General features: G+C 57.9%; 1 protein-coding gene and 1 long non-coding RNA gene across 5 annotated transcripts in view, besides 10 other annotated features; one reads left to right on the top strand and one right to left on the bottom strand.

The window, feature by feature from the left end:
• Window positions 797-1,679: an enhancer, noted in NCBI's record as "H3K4me1 hESC enhancer chr19:1928760-1929642 (GRCh37/hg19 assembly coordinates)". NCBI's record gives its function as "activates a minimal SCP1, AML or CMV promoter by ChIP-STARR-seq in naive H9 embryonic stem cells {active_cell/tissue: H9 hESC(naive)}" and the evidence as "EXISTENCE:reporter gene assay evidence [ECO:0000049][PMID:30033119]".
• Window positions 797-1,680: a biological region, named in NCBI's record as "Sharpr-MPRA regulatory region 4132".
• Window positions 1,386-1,680: a silencer, noted in NCBI's record as "tiled region #4132; K562 Repressive DNase matched - State 4:PromP". NCBI's record gives its function as "represses a minimal TATA promoter and a strong SV40 promoter by Sharpr-MPRA in K562 cells {active_cell/tissue: K562}" and the evidence as "EXISTENCE:reporter gene assay evidence [ECO:0000049][PMID:27701403]".
• Window positions 1,778-1,867: an enhancer, noted in NCBI's record as "active region_13636". NCBI's record gives its function as "activates an Ori minimal core promoter by ATAC-STARR-seq in GM12878 lymphoblastoid cells {active_cell/tissue: GM12878}" and the evidence as "EXISTENCE:reporter gene assay evidence [ECO:0000049][PMID:35858748]".
• Window positions 10,424-10,624: a silencer, noted in NCBI's record as "fragment chr19:1938387-1938587 (GRCh37/hg19 assembly coordinates)". NCBI's record gives its function as "represses an EF-1alpha promoter that drives an FKBP-Casp9 reporter gene in an ReSE screen in K562 erythroleukemia cells {active_cell/tissue: K562}" and the evidence as "EXISTENCE:reporter gene assay evidence [ECO:0000049][PMID:32094911]".
• LOC105372238 (uncharacterized) lies at window positions 12,150-13,110 on the bottom strand. The gene is made up of 2 exons (XR_936239.2): window positions 12,783-13,110; window positions 12,150-12,589 (listed from the first exon to the last, which is right to left on the bottom strand). It is a non-coding gene; the product is annotated as an uncharacterized LOC105372238 (long non-coding RNA).
• Window positions 12,366-12,425: a silencer, noted in NCBI's record as "silent region_9755". NCBI's record gives its function as "represses an Ori minimal core promoter by ATAC-STARR-seq in GM12878 lymphoblastoid cells {active_cell/tissue: GM12878}" and the evidence as "EXISTENCE:reporter gene assay evidence [ECO:0000049][PMID:35858748]".
• Window positions 12,866-13,295: a silencer, noted in NCBI's record as "silent region_9756". NCBI's record gives its function as "represses an Ori minimal core promoter by ATAC-STARR-seq in GM12878 lymphoblastoid cells {active_cell/tissue: GM12878}" and the evidence as "EXISTENCE:reporter gene assay evidence [ECO:0000049][PMID:35858748]".
• The window catches only part of CSNK1G2 (casein kinase 1 gamma 2), a 40,167-nt gene continuing 32,514 nt past the window's right edge, over window positions 13,208-20,860 (top strand). For all 4 annotated transcript variants that reach the window (XM_005259498.2, XM_005259500.2, NM_001319.7 and 1 more), the window contains exon 1: window positions 13,208-13,454. The gene's annotated coding sequence lies outside the window, so the exon portion shown is untranslated. The remainder of the gene's footprint in view (window positions 13,455-20,860) is intronic.
• Window positions 14,256-14,405: an enhancer, noted in NCBI's record as "active region_13637". NCBI's record gives its function as "activates an Ori minimal core promoter by ATAC-STARR-seq in GM12878 lymphoblastoid cells {active_cell/tissue: GM12878}" and the evidence as "EXISTENCE:reporter gene assay evidence [ECO:0000049][PMID:35858748]".
• Window positions 15,086-15,195: an enhancer, noted in NCBI's record as "active region_13638". NCBI's record gives its function as "activates an Ori minimal core promoter by ATAC-STARR-seq in GM12878 lymphoblastoid cells {active_cell/tissue: GM12878}" and the evidence as "EXISTENCE:reporter gene assay evidence [ECO:0000049][PMID:35858748]".
• Window positions 19,035-19,755: an enhancer, noted in NCBI's record as "H3K27ac-H3K4me1 hESC enhancer chr19:1946998-1947718 (GRCh37/hg19 assembly coordinates)". NCBI's record gives its function as "activates a minimal SCP1, AML or CMV promoter by ChIP-STARR-seq in naive H9 embryonic stem cells {active_cell/tissue: H9 hESC(naive)}" and the evidence as "EXISTENCE:reporter gene assay evidence [ECO:0000049][PMID:30033119]".

Raw genomic sequence — 20,860 nt, forward strand, 5'->3', positions numbered from 1 at the left:
GGGAGCTGGGGTATTTATCCTCCAACTCCCCTGCAAATGGTATGGGGGCTGGGGAGGCTTAGCTCCGCCCTCAGGTAGAGAGTCATAGATGCTGGTCTGTGTGTGTTGTGCTTGTGTTGCGTGTGTATCGTATGTGTGTGTGTGTATGTGCATCTGTGTGTCTATGAGTGTCTGTGCTTTATTACAGATTGAATTAGGTCCTCCCCAATACCCATATGTTCACACCCTAAGCCCCAGGACCTCAGAATGTGACTTTGCTTGGAAATAAGGTCATTGAGGATGAAATTATATAGTTAAGATGACTTCATTCTGGAGTAGGGTGGGCACTGATCCAGTGTGACTGGTGTCCTTTACATAAAACAGGAAATTTGAGCTGGGCCCAGTGGCTCTCACCTGTAATCCCAGCAATTTGGGAGGCAGAGGCAGGAGGATTGCTTGAGCCCAGGAGTTCAAGACCAGCCTTGGCAACATAGTGAGACCCTATATCTACAAAAAAAATTAAAATTAGCCAGGTATGGTGGCATGCGCCTGTAGTCCCAGCTACTCAGGAGGCCGAGGTGGGAGGATTGCTTGAGACCAAGAGTTTGAAACCAGTCTGGGCAACATAGCAAGATCTCATTTCCACAAAAAATACAAAAAGTGTCAGGGCATGGTGGCACATGCGTGCATTCCCAGCTACTCAGGAGGCTGAGGTGGGAGGATTGCTTGAGTCCAGGAGATTGAGGCTGCAGTGAGCTGTTAACGGCGCCACTGCACTCCAGCCTGGGTGCCAGAGAGAGACCCTATCTCAAAAAAAAAAAAAAAAAAAAAAAGCCAGGTGCAGTGGCTCACGTCTGTAATCCCGGCACTTTGGCACACCGAGGCGGGTGGATTATCTGAGGTCAGGAGTTCAAGACCAGCCTGGCCAACATGGTGAAACTCCGTCTCTACTAAAAATACAAAAAATTAGCCAGGCGTGGTGATGCACACCTGTAATCCCAGCTACTTGGGAGGCTGAGGTGGGAGAATCGCTTGAACCGGGAGGTGTAGGTTGCAGTGAGCCAAGATCACACCACTGCACTTCAGCCTGGGTGACAGAGCAAGACAAAAAAAAAAGGGAAATTTGGGACACAGACACACACAGGACGAACACCATGGTGAAGCTTTCGCAAGCCAAGAACGCCGGTCACCGCCAAGAGAGGCCTGGGACAGAGTCCACTCGGGCTCAGAAGGATCCAGCGTCGCTCACACCTTCGTCTGGGACTCGCAGCCCCAGAACCGAGAGAGAATAAACAGGTGTTTGCGCCGCCGGGTCTGCGGTACCTGTCAAGGCAGCCCTAGCAAACCGATGCGTGTTTGCATGTGTGAATGCGTGTGTGCGTTTACATGTTCAGGAGTGACAGGTGCTGCAGGGTACTGACGGGGACCGCAGCCTCTGCTGTGCGTCCTAAATATCACGCCCCTCTTTCTGCAAACTGTCGCCCCAGTCACTGCCCCGTCTTCCCTTCGGAGGTCGACCCCGCCGCCCTCCGCTCGGCCGCCAGAGGGCGACCTCGGACTCCAGTCGGACGGGCTCTGCCCTGGCTCCCGGGCTTCAGGTTCTAATAGAAACTCTCGCAGGGGTGGGTCACGCCTGTAATCTCAGCCCTTTGGGAGGCTGAGGCAGGAGAATCTGCCGGGAGGCAGAGGTTGCAGTGAGCTGAGAGCGCACCATTGCACTCCAGCCTGGGCGACAAGAGTGAAACTCCTTCTCAAAAAAAAAAAAAAAAAAAGAAAAGAAAAGAAAAAAAATGGGGAGTGTCCGCCTCTGGACAAGGTGCAGCCGGCATGATGTGGCTCCTGAGTGGCCACGTCCCCTTCAGGGTCACAGGGGCGATCCAGGGAATGAGGAAAGGAAGACGGAACTGCAGGCATGGCGGGGGACCTGGCGGGCAGCTGGGGGCATCGTGTGCCCCCCCCCATGGCTACTGCCCCTGGTGGTGAGTCCCCGGGGTGGGCATCACTAAAAGAGTGACTGTGATGGCTTCATTGGGCTGGGCCCTCCAGGCTCCCCCTCCACCCCTGCCACTGAGCTCCACGCCCGGACCCAGGCCTGGGGGCACTGCAGGGACGGATCCTCAACCCTCTGGCTTCAGCTTCCATCCCAGCGGGGTCCAGCTGGGGACTTGCACCAGGGGGCAGGGGGCTGGGAGAGTGAGGGAGGAAGAGTGAGGGAGGGGAAGTGAGGCCGATTGTCGGTCCCTGGCCTCCTCCCTCTAGAGGACAGCCTGTCCATGGGGGTCCCTCTCTGCAGCCCATCCCCCACCTGTAAGGCGCCCACTGTTGCCAACCCCAGGGGCTGTGTCATTCCGCGTTGCTGCCCCTCACCCTGCCTACGCCTCCACAAACCCCACTGCTAAATCCTTCTTCCACATGAGGGAGCCATCGCCTTCCAACAGCAATTTAGGAGGGTGAATGTGATGTTTGGGATGTCTCACGATTTCCCAGCATGAACGCACAATCTCAAGCTGTGTGTGTGTGTGTGTGTGTGTGTGTGTGTGTGAGAGAGAGAGAGAGAGAGACAGACAGAGAGACTCACTCTGTCGCCCACACTGGAGTGCAGTGGCACAATCTCGGCTCACTGCAACCTCCACCTCCCAGGTTCAAGCGATCCTCTTGCCTCAGCCTCCCAAGTAGCTGGGATTACAGGTGCACGCCACCAACCACACCCAGCTAATTTTTATATTTTTAGTAGAAACTAGTTTTTGCCATGTTGGCCAGGTTGGTATCGAACTCCTGGCTTCAAGTGATCCACCCGCCTCAGCCTCCCAAAGTGCTGGGACTACAGGCGTGAGCCACCCAGTTGAGTCATTTTTTTCTTTTCTTTTTTTTTTTTTGAGACGGAGTTTTGTTCTTGTTGCCCAGGCTGGAGTGCAGTGGCGTGATCTCGGCTCACTACAACCACCACCTCCTGGGTTCAAGCAATTCTCCTGCCTCAGCCTCCAGAGTAGCTGGGACTACAGGCATGTGCCACCATGCCCAGCTAACTTTTGTATTTTTAGCAGAGACAGGGTTTCTGTTTCTCCTTGCTGGTCAGGCTGGTCTCAAACTCCCAACCTCAGGTGATTCACCCGCCTCAGCCTCCCAAAGTGCTGGGATTACAGGCATGAGCCACCATGCCTGGCCCCCCAGTTGAGTCATTTCCAGTCTTCTGAGCCCCAGAAACTTGATAAGATGTCTGTTGTTTTATTTATTAATTTTATTTTTGTTTTATTTATTTATTTATTTATTTATTTATTTGAGATGGAGTCTTGCTCTTTGCCCAGGCTGGAGTGTAGTGGTGCGATCTCGGTTCACTGCAACCTCTGCTTCCCAGGTTCAAGAGATTTCCCTGCCTCAGCCGCCCAAGTAGCCAGGACTACAGGCGCCCGCCACCACACCCAGCTAATTTTTGTGTATTTTTAGTAGAGATTGGGTTTCACCATATTGGCCAAGCTGGTCTCAAACCCCTGACCTCAGGTGATCTGCCTGCCTCAGCCTCCCAAAGTGCTGGGATTACAGGCATGAGCCATGGCTCCCAGCCTCTTCTTTTTTATTAAAAAAAATAATAATTTGTTTTTGCTTAATTTATTTCACCAGTCATATCACAAAGACATGTGTTGTTTTAGGCCACTGAGTTTGGTATAATTTGTTATGCAGCAGTAGCTGACTGATACAATAGGTGTTCCTGGATTATCTTCAGAAACCTGATAATAATATGTACACTAACTAGGGCTGTATCAGGGTGCATGGCAGGGTTTTTGAAGGCATTTTAAAGAGGTTTAGTTCCTGTCCTCAGGAGCTGCTGCCTAGTGGGGCAGACAGACCATGAATATCCATCATGGAAGGCAGAACACATAAGTACATGGACGAAAGCAGTTCCAGAGGCTGGTGGGTTGGATTCATTTGGCCTGATGTATCATGGAGTCCTCCCAAAAGAGGTGATCATCTGCCTGAGCTTTGCCAGACCTGTTGGGCTGAGAGAAGCCAGACAAGGCTCAGATGGGTGGAGGGTCAGGGTGGGTTGGAAAGGAACAAGTCAGTATGGGTGCAGAGGGCGTCCTGATGGATAGATGGGGCTGCGAAGTGGAACCAGCCATTGAGGCAGCCTCGAATGCTGTCCCCATTGTGGGGACTTTGAAAAGCCACCCTCCTTTGAAACACAGAAGGGGCAAGGAGTAAATTTATATTTCTTTTTTTCTTTTTTTTTGTTTTGAGACGGAGTCTCACTCTGTCACCCAGGCTGGAGTGCAGCGGCACCATCTTGGCTCACTGCAAGCTCTGCCTCCTGGGTTCACGCCATTCTCCTGCCTCAGCCTCCCAAGTACCTGAGACTACTGGCGCCCGCCACCATGCCTGGCTAATTTTTTGTATTTTTAGTAGAGACGGGGTTTCACCATGTTAGCCAGGATGGCCTCGATCTCCTGACCTCGTGATCTGCCTGCCTCAGCCTCCCAAAGTGCTGAGATTACAGGCATGAGCCACCGCGCCCGGCCAATTTATATTTCTGGTAAGGGGTGGGAAGAAGGAGCTTTCTCAGGCTGGAGGGGAGAGAAGACAGATGAGCACAGACACTCCTGGCAGCGGCATGAGGGCCGGGGAGCAGGTGCAGGGCACAGCGGGGCTCTGCAGGGCGGTTGTAGTTGGTGAGGACCACTGGAGCAGGGCCTTGAAGGGCGTCACCCCTCACCTGGCTGCCTCTGGGCCATCCTCCAGTCTGCCAGGGACTAGCAGAGGGGAGAAAGTGGGAGAGGAATCATTATTTGATGACCTCATTCAGCCCTAGGGATTTGGGGTGGCTAAGGTAGAATGGCAGTGGATTATATCTGACATGATGCGGGGTGTCCGGGCTCAGCTGGGCAGTTCTGCTCCCTGTGGTGATGGGGGGTAATCAGCAATCATTTAGTGGCTTTCCCTGGCCGGGAATGTTTGAGGTAGCTCACTCACAGGGCTGGCAGGTGGTGCCTGCTCAGTGGTGCCATCACCCAGGGGCTTCCAGGTGGCTGCCTCACAAGATGGCAGCTGGGTTCCAAGCAGAAAGGACGCTGTTGAGTTCTTTTTTTTTTTTTTTTTTTTTTGAGACACAGTCTCACTCTGTCACCCAGGCTGGAGTGTAATGGCGCAGTCTCGGCTCACTGCAACCTCCACCTCCCAGGTTCAAGTGATTCTACTGCCTCAGCTTCCCGAGTAGCTGGGATTACAGGTGCCCACCACCACGCCCAGCTAATTTTGTATTTTTAGTAGAGACAGGGTTTCACCGTGCTGGCTAGGCTGGTCTCAAACTCCTGACCTCGGGTGATCTGCCCGCCTCGGCCTCCCCAAGTGCTGGGATGACAGGTGTAAGCACCATGCCCAGCCTACTGTCGAGCTCGTAAGACCCTCCCTCAGAAGTCTCAAGGCACCACTTCCCCTGCCTTCTGTTGCTAAAACAGGTCACAGGAGCAGCTACATTCAGGGGAGGGGAAATGAACTGTGTCTTTCCGTGGGAGGAGCAGCAAAGAATCTGTGACCATCACACCCAGCTTTTGAACCACTTCTTCTTTGTGTCTCAGTGTTTGTGGCATGCAGCATCCCTGTTGCCTGGGTCCAGGATGCCACCCTCCTACTGGGGTTGCAGCACCAAGGGGCTGGGCATTCCATCGAGCTGAGGGGTGGGGGCTCTGGATGGGAGGCTCCCTGGGGGGAGCTCACATCTTCCATGAAGCATCATGGTCATTGTTGCCCTGTCCTGCACCCTGTCCACTGCAGGCTGCCCTCTGTGGCTGGCCTTGGTGACAAGAGATGTGGGAGAGACCCTGGTCACCACCATGGGAGGAGTCCCCAGGCACCAGGGGCAAATGAACAGAGTGAATGCCAGGAGGACCATTTAGGTGCAATATGACCAAAAATAAGTTAAGTCCAAGTGGGCTGCATCATCAACAAGAACATCCCCCAGCCTCCATGAAACAGCCCAAAACCTGGAGCAAGACGGTTCCCTGACGCTGAGCGATGCCATTCACAGCAGCGTTCCTGAATACCCCCCATGCAGGCACTCACATGCTCACACACACAATACACAAACCAACACACACCACACACAGGCATGCCAAACACAGGCACACAAATGCACACCCCCCCATAGACCCACCGACGAACACACACACACACACCCAGATGCACAGGTGCGCACACACACCCACGCACACAAAGACCCAGAGACAGACATGTGCACACACATACATATGCACACATGTACGCAGATACATATGACACAAATGCATGAACACATGGACCACACATACCAACATGCCACCTCACACAGACACACCTAACACACACACACCCGTGCACACATGTACATGGACATACACACTGGAAAACAACAAACACATATACAAAATGCAGGCCGGTTGCGGTGGCTCATGCCTGTAATCCCAACACTTTGGGAGGCCGAGGCAGGGGGATCACTTGAGCCTGGGAAGTGAGGGCTGCAGTGAGCTATGATTGAATCTCTGCACTCCAGCCTGGGTGACAGAGGGAGACCCTGTCTCAGAAAAACAAAACACGAAACACAAAATATGACCGGGCGCAGTGGCTCGCGCTTGTAATCCCAGCACTTTGCAAGGCCGAGGTGGGTGGATCACAAGGTCAGGAGATCTAGACCATCCTGGCTAACACGGTGAAACCCCGTTTCTACTAAAAATACCAAAAATTAGCTGGGCGTGGTGGTGGGCGCCGGTAGTCCCAGGTACTCGGGAGGCTGAGGCAGGAAAATGGTGGGAACCCGGGAGGTGGAGCTTGCGCCACTGCACTCCAGCCTGGGCGACAGAGCGAGACTCCGTCTCAAAAAAAAAAAAAAACCCAAAATACAAATGCATGGACATGTATCCACACACACCAACATGTTACATCATAGACAGACACACAAAACACACAAACATACACCCATCCATGGACATACACACAGACACACACAAACATCAACACACAGCATCCCACACAGACACACAAACACACAGCCATGTACCCTCAAAGGACGCTGCAGGATGAGCCTTCATTCTCTGGGACAGCAGAGAAAGTAGACAAAGGAGAGAAACTTCTCTCAGAGTCACCCATCCTCTGACTGGATCCCGTGCCCCTGTGAAGAGGCAGATCCCAGTGCCCCACACTTGGCTCTGGGGCCACCCACTGCCGCCAGGCTCTGTCCCTGCGGTTGGTGGGGGTGAGGGCAGACCCTGCTCTGTGCTGCTTCCTCACCCACCAAAACTTCCTGACGTCGCCCTGTTCCGTTGGCTGCGCTGCATATGGGAATGCAGTGCTGGGCAGGCCCAGCCTCCCAGCTGGGAAGGGGTGTCGCCACTGGCTGCAAAGACAGGTCTTCTTTTCCCCCAAGTCTGTGTTTATGCCCTACTAGAGACTGTTGGGTGTAATTCCCAGAAAGTTCTGGAATGATCTAAAATGAGGAAATAGAAAAAAGTTGTAGAATCGGGCCAGGCGCAGTGGCTCATGCCTGTAAACCCAGCACTTTGGGAGGCTGAGGCAGGTGGATCACCTGAGGTCATGAGTTGGAGACCAACCTGGCCAACATGGCAACATGGGCAGACATCACCAATTAATCATCGAATGATGTTTCTCCTGACCTCCTTCCTCCTGTGTACAGGGTAGGCATCACCAATCAAGCAATGATGTTGGTTGACTGGGGAACGCTGCTGTTTGTCCTGCCTTCCTTCCTCTTGTGCACAGGGCAGACATCACCAATCAACCAATGATGCCCACACTGCTTCCCTCCCATGCACAAAGCAGACATCACCAATCAATCGAGCAGCACCAGGAGGAAACCAATTTGGCAGTTCAATCCGTCTTCAACTCTATCCTTTTATAGATAAGGTTGAGGCCCAGGGACCTGGTCAAGGGCAACTACAGGGCAGATCCCTCCTCCTCTTCCTGGGAATTAGCTTTGTCTCTTGTTCCTGGAGCAAATTCAGGAAAATTGCAAGGTCATGTACATTTTCAGCCCAGGGCATGAGTCACTTGATCCCTGCTGTCCAGAGCTGGACCCGGAGATGATGGCCAGGACTGTCCCCTTGCAGGGAGGCCACTGAGGCTGGCAGGGCCAAGACTGGGCAGTGAGCCACTCCAGGCGGGAAAGCCCTTTGTCACTGGAGCTGCTCTGAACGCTGCCGCCAAGTCGCAGGCAGCTGTTGTCATCTGCTCAGCGTCCTTCCCCTTCCCCGGCAACTACTCCTCCTGCTGTGGGGAACCTGGCCCACCCGACTCCTGTGTTCTCAGGGCGCTGCCCCTCGTGGAACCTGCCCTTCTGGTCACCAGGACATTGCCTAAACCAGGCCTGGCCAGTCATCTGGGAGGGGCCAATGCCAGACAATAAGAGACTTTCCTGGGATTTTATAGCGATCCTGGGAGAGAAGAGCTCTGTTTTATTTGGGGGTTGCTAAACTAAGCCACAGCTGCCACCACGGACGGAAGAAGCTTGGAGTGAAAGAATGAAGCCAAGGCACAGAGACGGAGAGACAAGGAGAGGGAGAGAGAGAGGGAAAGGTAGAGACAGAGAGAGATGTGGGGAGGGAGAGAGAGACAGAGAGATAGAGAGGTAGAGATAGAGACAGAGGGATATAGAGAGGGAGAGAGAGACGGAGACAGAGGATGAAAGAGACGAGACACAGTTGGAGATAGAGGGAGAGATGCAGAGACAGAGAGAGATAGAGAGGGAGAAATAGAGACAGACAGAGCTAGGAAGGGAGAGAGAGACAGAGAGAGGAAGAGAAAGGGAGAGACACAGAGACAGAGACAGAGAGCTTGAGAGACAGAGAGAGAGGCAGAGGAAGAAAGAGGCAGAAAGACAAATAGAGAGACAGAGACAGGGAGAGACAGAGACATAGACAGAAAGATGGCGAGCACTCCAGCCTGGGCAATAGAGCAAGGTTCCATCTCAAAAAAAAAGAGAGACATAGAGACAGAGACAGGAAAAGACAGAGAGATAGAGACAGAGAGAGAGAAAAAAGAGAGAGAGAGAGACATGAGGACAAAGAGAAAGGTCCACAGGCACTGAGCTTGAGTCACCCCTGGTTGCAGCCATGCCTGAAGGCAGCTCTGCCCGACCGCTGAGTTCCACAGCCCAGCATCTGTGATGGGCTGCACCTGTGTATTAGCACGTTACTGATAAGGCCCAGCTGCTTTAACAAATCGGCCCGCCTGGCGTAGCGGCTCCGGCACAGTGGACGTTTACTTCTTGCTCCAGGCCGGCGACCCAGGCAGCTCCACAGGTGACCTGAGGACTCACGGTCCCTCATCTGGGCTCCATGACCCCCCAGGGCCCCATGTGCTCCTCCTCCTGGGGTTGGAAGGGGAATGGAGGCCCAGGGTGGACAGCAGGAAGAAGACACGTGGCTGGAGGCACAAGCCCGCGGCGGCCTCAGCAACAGGACCCAGCTTTCCTTCCTGCGAGGCATGAGTCTGGCCCCTGCCCCCGGGCTCCTGACCCTCCAGCCAACCCGGCCTCAGAATGAGTGGCCCCGAGAGGGCCCCGGGCCACAGGGCTGTGGGGACACCTCCAGCTGTAACAGGCGGCAGGACCAGGAGGTGAGCAAGGGGGGAAAAGCTTCCAGAAGTTTTCCCAGACGCTGCGACCCTGAGGCTGGGCCTTCAAGGATGAATGGGGCGAGAGTGGGAGAAGGGCTTCCTGGGCAGAGGATGTGCGGCTGTTGGGACAGTGGCATCTCTAACAAAATACCGTAGGTGGGGCAGCTTAGACACAACAAATTTACTTCTCACAGCTTTGGAGAGCGTGGAGGTTCAAGACCAAGGTGTGGGCAGCTTTGGTATCTGCTGAGGGCCTGTTTTTGTTTTTTCGTTGTTTTTGAGGTTAGAGTGCAGTGGCATAATCTTGACTCACTGCAACCTCTGCCTCCCAGGTTCTAGTGATTCTTCTGCCTCGTCCTCCTGAGTAGACAGGATTACAGGCGCCCACCACCAAGACTGGCTAATGTTTGCATTTTTTGTAGAGACGGGGTTTCACCATGTTGACCAGGCTGGTCTTGAACTACCGACCTCAGGTGATCCACCAGCCTCGGCCTCCCAAAGTGCTGGGATTACAGGCGTGAGCCACCGCGCCTGGCCCTCACTCTGTATTTTTAGCCTCACTAAGGCTGATCTTGAACACCTGGTCTTACGCGATCCTCCCACCTCAGCCTCCCTAACTGCTGGGATTACAAGTGTGAACGTCTCTTTATGTGAGTATAGGAATAGAACAGAAGGGGGCACTTCCTGCCTGCCTCCTCCCCCAAACCTACGCTGTTTGGGATTTACTGGGAGGCTGGGAGATCTTCTCTCTAGAGGATGGGATGGGCGTGGACAAGTTGTTATCTTTATAATGTTCTTATTAGATTAAGACCTCCAAAGGGTGCTGGGCGCATTGGCTCAGGCCTGTAATCCCAGCACTTTCGGAGGCTGAGGTGGGTGCTATTGCTTGAGCTCAGGAGTTGGAGACCAGCCTGGGGAACATAGCAAAACCCTGTCTCTATAAAAAATTAGCCGGGCGTAGTCGGGCACGGTGGCTCACGCCTGTAGTCCCAGCACTTTGGGAGGCCGAGGCGGGGGGATCACAAGGTCAGGAGATCAAGACCATCCTGGCTAATACAGTGAAACCCCGTCTCCACTAACAATACAAAAAATGAGACGGGCGCAGTGGCGGGCGCCTGTAGTCCCAACTACTCGGGAGGCTGAGGCCAGGAGAATGGCGTGAACCCGGGAGATGGAGCTTGCAGTGAGCCGAGATAGTGCCACTGCAGTCTGGCCTAGGCGAAAGAGCAAGACTCCGTCTCAAAAAAAAAAAAAAAAAAAAAAATTAGGCGGGCGTGGTGGCGCGTGTCTGTGATCCCAGCTACTGGGGAGGCTTAGGTGGGAAGACTGCTTGAGCCTGGGGAGGTAGAGGCTGCGGTGAGCCGAGACTGTGCCACTGCACTCTAGCCTGGGTGACAAAGTCAGATCCTGTCTCAAAATAAAAAAGACCCGGCTGGGCGCGGTGGCTCAAGCCTGTCATCCTAGCACTTTGGGAGGCCAAGGCAGGCGCATCACCTGAGGTCAGGAGTTCGAGACCAGCCTGGCCAACATGGTGAAACCCCATCTCTATTAAAGGTACAAAAATCAGCTGGGCATGGTGGCGGGCGCCTGTAGTCCCACCTACTCAGGAGGCTGAGGCAGGAGAATCCCTTGAACCCGTGAGGCGGAGGTTGCAATGTGCCGAGATCATGCCACTGCACTCCAGCCTGGGCAACAGAGCGAAACTCTGTCTCTAAATAAATAAATAAATAAAAACCCTCAAAGGGGCTAGTCTCACCCCCCCACCAGCTGTCCCCAATGACATCCTCATGATTAAAGCTGAAATGAATCAGGAACATGTGGACCACATTTGAAGTGGGTTAAAAATGAGAAAGCAAGGTTGGCCACGGTGGTTTACACCTGGAATCGCAGCTTTTTTACAGTTTTTTTTTTTTTTTTGAGACGGAGTCTTGCTCTGTCACCCGGGCTGGAGTGCAGTGGCACGATCCTGGCTGACTACAACCTCCGCCTCCCAGGTTCAAGCGATTCTCCTGCCTCAGCCTCCAGACTAGTTGGGATTACAGGTGCTCACCATCACGCCCGCCTAATTTTTGTATTTTTAGTAGAGACGAGGTTTCGCCATGTTGGTCAGGCTGTCTCCAATTCCTGACCTCAGGGGATCCACCCATCTCGGCCTCTCAAAGTGCTGGGATTACAGGCGTGAGCCACCGCCCCCGGCCTTGGCCTTATTAAGACAGTCTTGCTCTGTCAGGCAGGCTAGAGTGCAGTGGTGCAATCACAGCCCACTGCAGCCTCGACCTCCTGGTTGAAGCAATCCTCCTGCCTCAGGATCCCAAGTAGCTGGGGCCACAGGCATGCGTCACCACGTCCCGCTACTTTTATTTTTTGTAGAGACAGGGTCTCTGCTACTCAGGCTGGTCTTGAACTCCTGGGCTCAACGAAGCCTCCTCCTCCGTCAGCCTCACAAAGTGCTGGGATTACAGGCGTGAGCAACCGCGCCCGCCCCACACCCTACCTTATAACATCATCTGAAATCATTACACAGGGCTCTCTCCTCCCCCTAGGACCGAGGACTCCCTAGGAAACGATGCCAAGAGTCTAGCTCACTGTTCTATTCTCAGAGCCACTGGCAGGCACTTAATACATATTTGAATGAATGTGTCTCCTTCGACTTTAAAAATGCCCCCACCGGGAAGTGCGTGGGGGATGTGGGAAGGCCGGAAACCATTTCTGCAGCTGCCAGTCCCCTTCCAGGCCCTGTCATGGGATGGAGCAGGGCATCACTGTGCGGCGCCTTGGCCTGTGGATCCCCTCCCCACGTTTCTTGCCCGGTGCAGGCCGGAAGGCAGGCAGGTACAAGCAAGGAGTCGGCTCTACGCGCAGAGCCCCAGGGGAGCGGCCCGTGCTGGGCATGGCAGTCCCAGCAGTGCATTTGTCTAGCTGCCGGCCGCGGGTCCGGGGCCACTTCCTCTCTGCTCCTTGCTGATGTCACGGTGGATGAAGACAACGGGGCACCCACGTCACCGCTGTTCTCCCCCTGAACACGGAGCAGTTATTCTAGAACTGTTTTCCCCTCCTCGCCCAGGAAAGCCAGATGGAAAAACCCTCTTGCCCTGAACCAGCTCATTTTCTGGCCAGTCGCCCCTTCCAGCGCCTGTCCCGGAAACCTCGCGGCCTAGCGCGCGCAGCCCGCCGCCTCCCCGCGCCGCGCCCGCCACCGCCCCACGCACGGAACATCCCGCGGCGCCGCCCGTCCGTGACGTCAGGTGGCGAGACTGTGACGTAACACACGGCGGCAGGGCGGTGCCAGGACGACCAGCCACGCGTCGCCATGGCAACAGCGGGCGGGGAGGGGCGGGCGGCGGAAGGCCCGCCCCTAGAAGGGTGTGGAAACCGTTAGACCCCCTTTCCTGCCCGCGCGCGCCCTCGCGGCCACGCGCTTTCGGTGTCCCCCGCGGGCAGCGGCCCGGCGGCCTCGTAGCGGCCGCAAAACGCCGTGGCCGTCGCGCGGCGCCATCCGTTGTCGCAAAGCGGCGCGAGAAACGCCCAGCCGGGTGTTGGCCCCGCCCCGCGCTGTGACGTCGGCGGCGCGCGCCCCCGGCGCCGTGGCCGCGGCTGCGCAGTGGGGCGCGTATGGCTGCCGCCCCCCGCTGGCAGACGCTGGCGGCGTAAGGCGCGCGGGCCCCGGAGCGGGCGCGGCGGAGCGCGGCGAGCCCGGCGCCTCCCGTCCCGAACATGCGGAGGCCGGCCCAGGCGGCGCGGGAGCCGGAGCGGGGGCCCAAGCGGCACCGGAGCCGGAGCGCGAGGGGGCGCGGGGCCCGGAGCGGGGGTCCGCGCTGCGCTGCTGAGGCCGGGCCGGCCGCCCAGACGCTGCCCGCGGGCCCGGCCACGGCGGAGCCAAGGTAACGACGCGCGCGCCCGCCCCGGCCCCTTCGCCCCCTGCACCCTGGCCCTGGGCGCCCCCAGTGACCCCCGGCGCCCCCGCCCCCACACTCGGTGTCCACTGCCCTCCTGCGCCCTGCCGACCCCGTGCTCCGGACCCCAGCGCCCCCCAACCCGTCTAACCGCCCCGCAAGCTGACCCCCACACTCAGGGCCCCACCGCCGCAACACCCCGTTGACCCTGCACTCGGGACCCCAGCGTCCCCCACCGCCCTAACCCGCGCTCAGGACCTCCGGACACAGCCCCACGCTGACCTCCACACTCAGGAGTCTGCCGCCCCAGTGACCCTCACACTCCAGACCCTGCCCCCGCCGCTCCAGTGACCCCCCCACTCTGCACCCCGGTGACTGTCGTGCTCCAACTCTCCTGCCCTCCGCTGAGCCTTTAGTCCCCACCCCACCTCCCGCCTTCTTCCCCCACCCAGTGCTCAAGCCCACCGCCCACTCACCCGCGTCCCTCACGCCTCCCCGCGTTCTGGTCCCGAGGCCCCTGCCCACCTGGCCCCATCGCCTCCTCCTGTCTTGGCCTGGCCCCTCCCCACGCAGCTGTGTCCCCGTCCTCACTTTGTGGTCCTAAAGCTCTTGAGGGGGAGAGCAGGGGGTGGTGGGGGGGAGGAAGGTGGTCTGATCCGCAGGGACCTGTTGCGGCACTGCCTGGGAACTCCCGGCTGGGCTCGCTGCCCCCTCCCCCTTCCGCTGTGGCCACCGGCTTTGTTTTCCGGAAACGCACGGATCAGGGAGGGAGGGTGAGATGTCTGAGCAGGGCCTGCGGTGGCCTCACCGATCCCCGATCCCCGCCTGGCTCCTCTCTCCCAACTTTCTTAGGGGAAGACTTTCCCGTTGAGGGGCGTGGGGGCTGAGAGGACATTCGGGGACTGTTGCGTCTTGAGCCAGAATGGCTTTGGGACAGCTGGTTCTTATTCCTGTGGCCTCCGGATGGCATTGTTTGCAGGAAGCGGGCCGGAGGGTTGTCTGTGTAGGTGGAGTCCAGCATCTTCTCCCCGTTACGCTCCACCGTGTGGCCCAGTGCGCCGGGGCGGTCCACAAGGCCATGTGGGGCTCTGCCTCCCCACCCCAGGACATGCAGGAGCCTTCTTGGTGTTTCCTGGCTCCCGGAGGCCCTGGTAGCTCGTGGGTGTGGGAGCTGAGCAGGAAGGTACAAAGGCTCCTGTCTGGGGGAAAAACCCAGCCGTCCCGCCACGGGAAGGCGCTCGGATTAGGGAGGGGGCTGGGCGGGGGTTGGCAGCTGGGGATGGAAGCACCCCGGGCTACTCTGCCCTGCACAGCCCAGCCTAGCCTGGGGTGCCTCTGTGCAGAGGAAAGACTGTGTGCCAGGGCCCCCAGGTTTGAAAGGGGGAAGTTCGCGGTTGTCACTGGTACTTTGTTTTGTTTTCCCCTGTGTCTCCACCAAAACGAAACGCTCTGGGCTGGGCTGACTGATGAGTTTCCCAGGCAGGCAGCCCCCGGGAGTGTGTGCAGGTACGCGCACGCCTGCCTTGACGTCTCTAGGGCCGAGAGTGTTTTGCTCAGCCCCCCACAGTGAGCTCTGAGAGCCGCTCCTGCACAGACGAGAGGGAACGGGAGACCTGCATGCAGGGGAGCCGGGTCTGGACGGGGTCCCAATGGGAGGGCCAGGTCTGGGGGTGAGAGGCCAACCATGTGTCCTGCAGGACCGTGCAGCGGGCAAATGGGGTGAGATGTTGGAGGAGCTGGCTCTGTTCCCTTCACCCCGGTGGGAGGCGAAACCCCAAGTGGTCTGTAGTGTCTGGATTTACTGTGCCTGCTGTGCCTTCGGACTTCCTTGTGTGTCTAGGGGCTTCCTGTCTGATTTGAACCTGTCTAGTTCCTCTGAAGAGGATGAGGGAGCAGCGCCTCATTGCCTGGGCTCTGGGCAGGTCTGGGAGCCAGGCCGTTTGCAGGATGGCCCGCGATGGTGCAGCACTTTGTGCAGACAGATTTTGTGGAATTGCCGATTTGGGTTTCTTCTTTTCTTCTCCTCCTTTTTAATAATACAGTAATTACTCTGGGCTACAAAGGAAGTAGGCGAGGGTTTTTTTAATTGAAAGTTCCTGTTGCTCATCCCAAGCTTAGGGGAAGCCAGTATGCCAGCCATTAATTTGGGGATTGGGGTAGTCCTGTTGGTGTGCCAGGCACGGTTGGGAGGGGGGGCACTGTGTCTTTTGGAACTGGTGGGGGTTACCGCGCGCCCGAGTGGCAGACTCTAGCGCCCCAGCAGATGCGTCCGCAGAGCCACTGGGACGGACGGAAGCTGAGCTTAGGGACAGCCGGAGTTGCTTGCCCTGGGGCATCTGGAGAGGGGGATCCTGTTGAGCGTTTGATGTTGCCTCCTTTCTGCACCCCCCACCGAGCTGCCCCAGGCCCCCAGGGGCTCATGGTCCGTCAAGGCCTTGACCGAGGCCTGGCGGAGGGCGGGTGGTGGATGGAGGCAGCGCTGTGGGTGCTGTTGGGGCCGAGTGCCGGGCACAGCCTGGCAGGGGCTGCGGGCCTCGGGTGGCAGTGGGCAGGCCAGCATGTGGGGCTGGCTGACTTTCTCTGAACCCAGAGGGGACACAGGGCCCATGTGAAGGAGGCCTGGCCCGAGTCCTGGTTAGGGTTGCGGTGGTGGCGGGCAGCTGTGGGCTTCGTCCTCAGGTCAGCCTCAAGTCCTGTGTCCAGCTAGGGCTCGGTGGCCGTGCGCGTGTTGGGTCGAGCTCTGGTGTCAGGCGTGCCGGGTCCGCCTCCCCCATCCCGCGGATCTGCAGATCTGCAAATGCTCCGCCGGCAGCCACACGAGAGAACCTGTTGGTTGGCGGCCTCTGTGCAAGGCCGTCTGAGTGAGGCCTGCAGTCTGGAGGCTCCCTAGGTCGGGAGGCTCCGCGTCTGCTTCTTCCTCATTCTGGAGTTCTCGTGGGGCCCGTGCTGTGGGGCTTCCTGGGAAGTGGGTGGAGCGCCCATTTTACAGATGAGGAAGTCGAGGCCTACCTGGCCTGCTTGGGTAGAGGAGAAGGTGGTGTTTCCCGAGGGCTGACTCCCACACCTGTGCTTCTCTGGTCACCCGCCGTGCCAGTGGGAGCAGTGACAGCGAGGGGTGGTGGCCCTGCGGCCAGGGGACGGGCCTCACCGCCTTCCCCATCCTCTCTGCTGGCTCTGTCCAGAGGGCTGTGCCGCCCTGTGACTGGCACGTGGGTGCAGCCGTCTGCTGGGTGGGTCTGTCCGGGAGCTTGACTGGCCTGGCTGGGTGGGGGGGGGTACCCCTTTGTGCTACCTCAGCGAGGGCTCAAAGTGAGGGTCTGGGACCACCAGAACGGTGTATTCAATGCACTGCGGGCAGCCCTGCAGCGGGCAGGGATTGAGTGAGGGGTGGGGCCTGCCTGGCTCCTGGCAAGCACCCGTCTGGCGGGCGGGGCCCAGTGAGCCTCCTCCCTTTGCCGGGTCCTCCTGTAGTGGGGCAGGAACCTCTAGCATCCCACCCTTGCTGCCCTTTTTCTGCCCCGCTCACCACCCACATCAACTTGTCACCAGCAAGGGCATGGGACAAAGCAGGACATGCCCCGGGTGGCCAGCGTGAGCTAGCTGTGCCCAGGAGCATTGCCCATGCTGTCCCCCAGGCACTGTCCTGAAGCCCTGCTGGGTTCTGAGTCCTCCAGGCTCCGCGGCCCCTTCTCGCCCTGCCCAGAGTCTCTGGCCACCACCGCTGCTTGGGGCCCTGCACCAGCCTGTGCGCCCGCAAGGTTGCCAGGGCCCCTCTGCAGGTGCAGCGTGAGCTGTGTCCTGGGCCCACAGGGGAGCCGCTTCTCAGACCCCCGGGCTGGCCCCAGGCTCCCCCGGCAGCACTCAGGCGGCCCTGGCCCCCGGTGCGGCTGACTGTTCGGGGCACGCGTCTGAGGTGTGGGGATCATCTCCCCCTTGCTCAGAGCCCCCAACGTGTCCCCTGCACAGGGAATCGGGGCAGCCCCCTGCCAGCCCTGCCCAGGGATCCCTCCTGTCACCCTCAGGCGTGCTCCTGGGTGGCCCAGCGGCCTCCCTGCACCGTGAGGCCCGAGACAGTTTCGCGTGACATCATGTTGAAAACAGCCAGCTCTGGCCGGGCGCGGGGGCTCCCACCTGTCATCCCAGCACTTTGGGAGGCCGAGGTGGGCGGATCACCTGAGGTCAGGAGTTCAAGACTAGTCTGGCCAACATGGCAAAACCCCATCTCCACTAAAAATACAAAAATTAGCCGGGCGTGGTGGCGTGCGCCCATAATCCCAGCTACTCGAGAGGCTGAGGCAGGAGAATCACTTGAACCCGGGAGGTGGAGGTTTTAGTGAGCCAGGATCGCGCCACTGCACTCCAGCCTGGGCAACAGAGCGAGACTCCGTCTCAAAAAAAAAAAAAAAAAAAGCTGGTTCTCCCTTGATGCGCATCTGCTGAACTTCTGGGGCACGCTGGGGTAGAGCAGTGGGTCCCTCCCTGGAGAGGCCATGGGGTGAGGACCGAAGCTGTGGGTGCCAAGTGGGGCAGGCAGCCCAGTGGAGTGGGGCAAGAGACTCTGGTCTGGCCGGCCTGACCCGTGGGGTATGACTCTTGTTACGGCAGATTCCATCTAGGAGCGGAGGCCACGCGTATGTTCCCGGGAGAGGTGGGAAGTGCATCCCGTGGCCTATCCCGGGGAGGTCACTCCCATTCCATACCTGCAGGGGGAGCTAGCTGCCTCACGTCTGTGTCTCAGGCCGCGCAGAGGAGGGGGCGCAGGTGAGGGCAGCGGGAAGAAAGACTGCAAGAGGCTCGGGGGTCACGGGCCAGGGCTGGCCCATCACTATTTATTCGTTTATTTATTTATTTATTTATTTTTTATTTATTTATTTTTTTTAAGATGGAGTCTTGCACTGTTGCCCAGGCTGGAGTGCAGTGGCCCGATCTCAGCTCACTGCAAGCTCCGCCTCTTGGGTTCACGCCATTCTCCTGCCTCAGCTTCCCGAGTAGCTGGGACTACAGGCGACCGCCACCACGCCTGGCTAGTTTTTTGTACTTTTAGTAGAGACGGGGTTTCACCGTGTTAGCCAGGATGGTCTCGATCTCCTGACCTCGTGATCTGCCCGCCTCGGCCTCCCAAAGTGCTGGGATTACAGGCGTGAGCCACCGCGCCCGGCTATTTATTTATTTATTTATTATTATTATTATTATTTTCTTTGAGATGGAGTCTCGCTCTGTTGCCCAGGCTAGAGTGCAGTGGCGCAATCTTGGCTCACTGCAAGCTCCGCCTCCCGGGTTCACGCCATTCTCCTGCCTCAGCCTCTCCAGCAGCTGGGACTACAGGTACATGCCATCACGCCTGGCTAATTTTTGTATTTTTAGTACAGACGGGGTTTCACTGTGTTAGCCAGGATGGTCTCCATCTCCTGACCTTGTGATCTGCCCGCCTCGGCCTCTCAAAGTGCTGGGATTACAGGCATGAGCCACTGTGCCCGGCCTATTCATTTATTTATTTAGAGACAGAGTCTCGCTCTGTTGTCCATGTTGGCCAAGCTGGTCTTGAACTCCTGACCTCAGGTGATCCACCTGCTTCAGCCTCCCTCATAGCTGGGATTACAGGCGTGAGCCACCGTGCCCGGCCCTATCGCTATTTAAAAGGCAGAGAAAATCTTAGAGGTTTTTTTATTGTCACCAGCGGTGTTTCGTTGATGCGTAATTGCCTTTGGAGGCTTGAAAAAAGTTGTGCTTAAAGGTAATCCCTCAATTATCTGGAAACTTCCACCCTCCAGAGTGAGGCACCCCAAGTCCTGGTCTGGATTCGTGGACAGAGTCCCTGCCTGTGAGGCCTGATGGCCAGTCCTCTCGCCTTGGCCGTGGTGCTTCAGGCCCTGTTGCAGGTGGGACCCGCCCTCCTTAGGGACCTTGTTTCCCAGGTGATGCTCATGTAATCTGCGGTGACCTCTGCCCCTTCCCATCTGACCTCTGTCCCCAGGAAAGATGGCAGGCGTGCGAGGGCTCATCCTGTCCGCGGCAGTTGTGCCCCTCGGGCTTCTGCTCCAGTGGTCCTGGGGCAGGGCAGCTGGCGCTGATGCCCAGGCTCTGCCTGGGGACAGTTCCCAGGACGGGAGCCTGAGGGCAGCGCACGGGACCAGCGTGAGGACACGGACTGGCCCGTGTCTGCCTCTGACTTGCTGGGTGTGCCTTTGAGTTCCTCTGAGGGTGGGTGCGCCGAGGGGGATCCAGCTGGGCCCTGGCCACGTGCAGGCCAGCCAGAGCCCTGGAGCCTGCAGGTGGGCTGGGACAGGGCTTGCGACCGCAGGGGTGGTGTGCGTTTGCGCTGGCGTCTGCACAGGTGTGTGCGTGCTGTGCCATCACGCTGGTCAGGCCTGTACGCCGTGGAGAGGGGCGCTGTGTGGGGCTCGCTGCCTGAGCCCTGGGTGGACCGTGGCTGCCCCATGAGTTGTCGGGGACCTCCGCTGCCCCTTGGACCTCGCCCGCGGCCCTGGGCAATGGGTGTGGTGACGTCCTGGGGCCCCCATGAGTCAGCTCGTCCTCGTGCCCGGGCACTGGCCTCTCCTTCCTGTGGGCGCACAGCCCCGGTTCCTCTGAAAGCTTCGTGGGCCGGGACCCGGGATGAGCTGGTTAAACCCTGGCCCTGTGAGCAGGAGGTGTGGCTTCGGGGGGCGGCCCCGCCCTGGGCTCAGACTTGATCCTGCACCGGAGGGAGCCATTCTGGAAGGCCGCTGCCCCGGGCCCTGTCCCTCCCCCTCTCATCCCCAGGGTGCTGGCCAGAGCCGGGCTCACAGCGTTTCTTAAAATTAACGATCCCGGCCGGGCGTGGTGGCTCACGCCTGTAATCCCAGCACTTTGGGAGGCCGAGGCGGGTGGATCACGAGGTCAGGAGATCGAGACCATCCTGGCTAACACAGTGAAACCCCGTCTCTACTAAAAAGACAAAAAATTAGCCGGGCGCGGTGGCAGGCGCCTGTACTCCCAGCTACTCGGGAGGCTGAGGGAGGAGAATGGCATGAACCCGGGAGGCGAAGCTTACAGTGAGCTGAGACCGCGCCATTGCACTCCATGTGGGCGACAGAGTGAGACTCCGTCTCAAAAAAAAAAAAAAAAAACGCAAAAAAAAAAAAGATCCCGTCACACTGACCCAGCTCACTGTTCTCTTACCAGCCTTATTTCGGTGTGGTCCTTAGAGCATGAGCCACTTTTTTTTGCTGGGAACATAATCCACGTTTGGTAAAATTCGGCAACGTGTGCACGCAAGTGGTTTTTGTACAGCTGACCCTTGAGCAGGGTGGGGTTTAGGGCAGCAGCCCCTCATGTAGCAAAATACCCTCGTATAGCTTTCGAGTCCTCCAGATGCCGCTGCCGACAGCCTGCTGGTGACCAGAGGCCTCGGG

This window comes from Homo sapiens, chromosome 19 (assembly GCF_000001405.40).
Source record: "Homo sapiens chromosome 19, GRCh38.p14 Primary Assembly".
NCBI classification, from domain to species: Eukaryota; Metazoa; Chordata; class Mammalia; order Primates; family Hominidae; genus Homo; species Homo sapiens.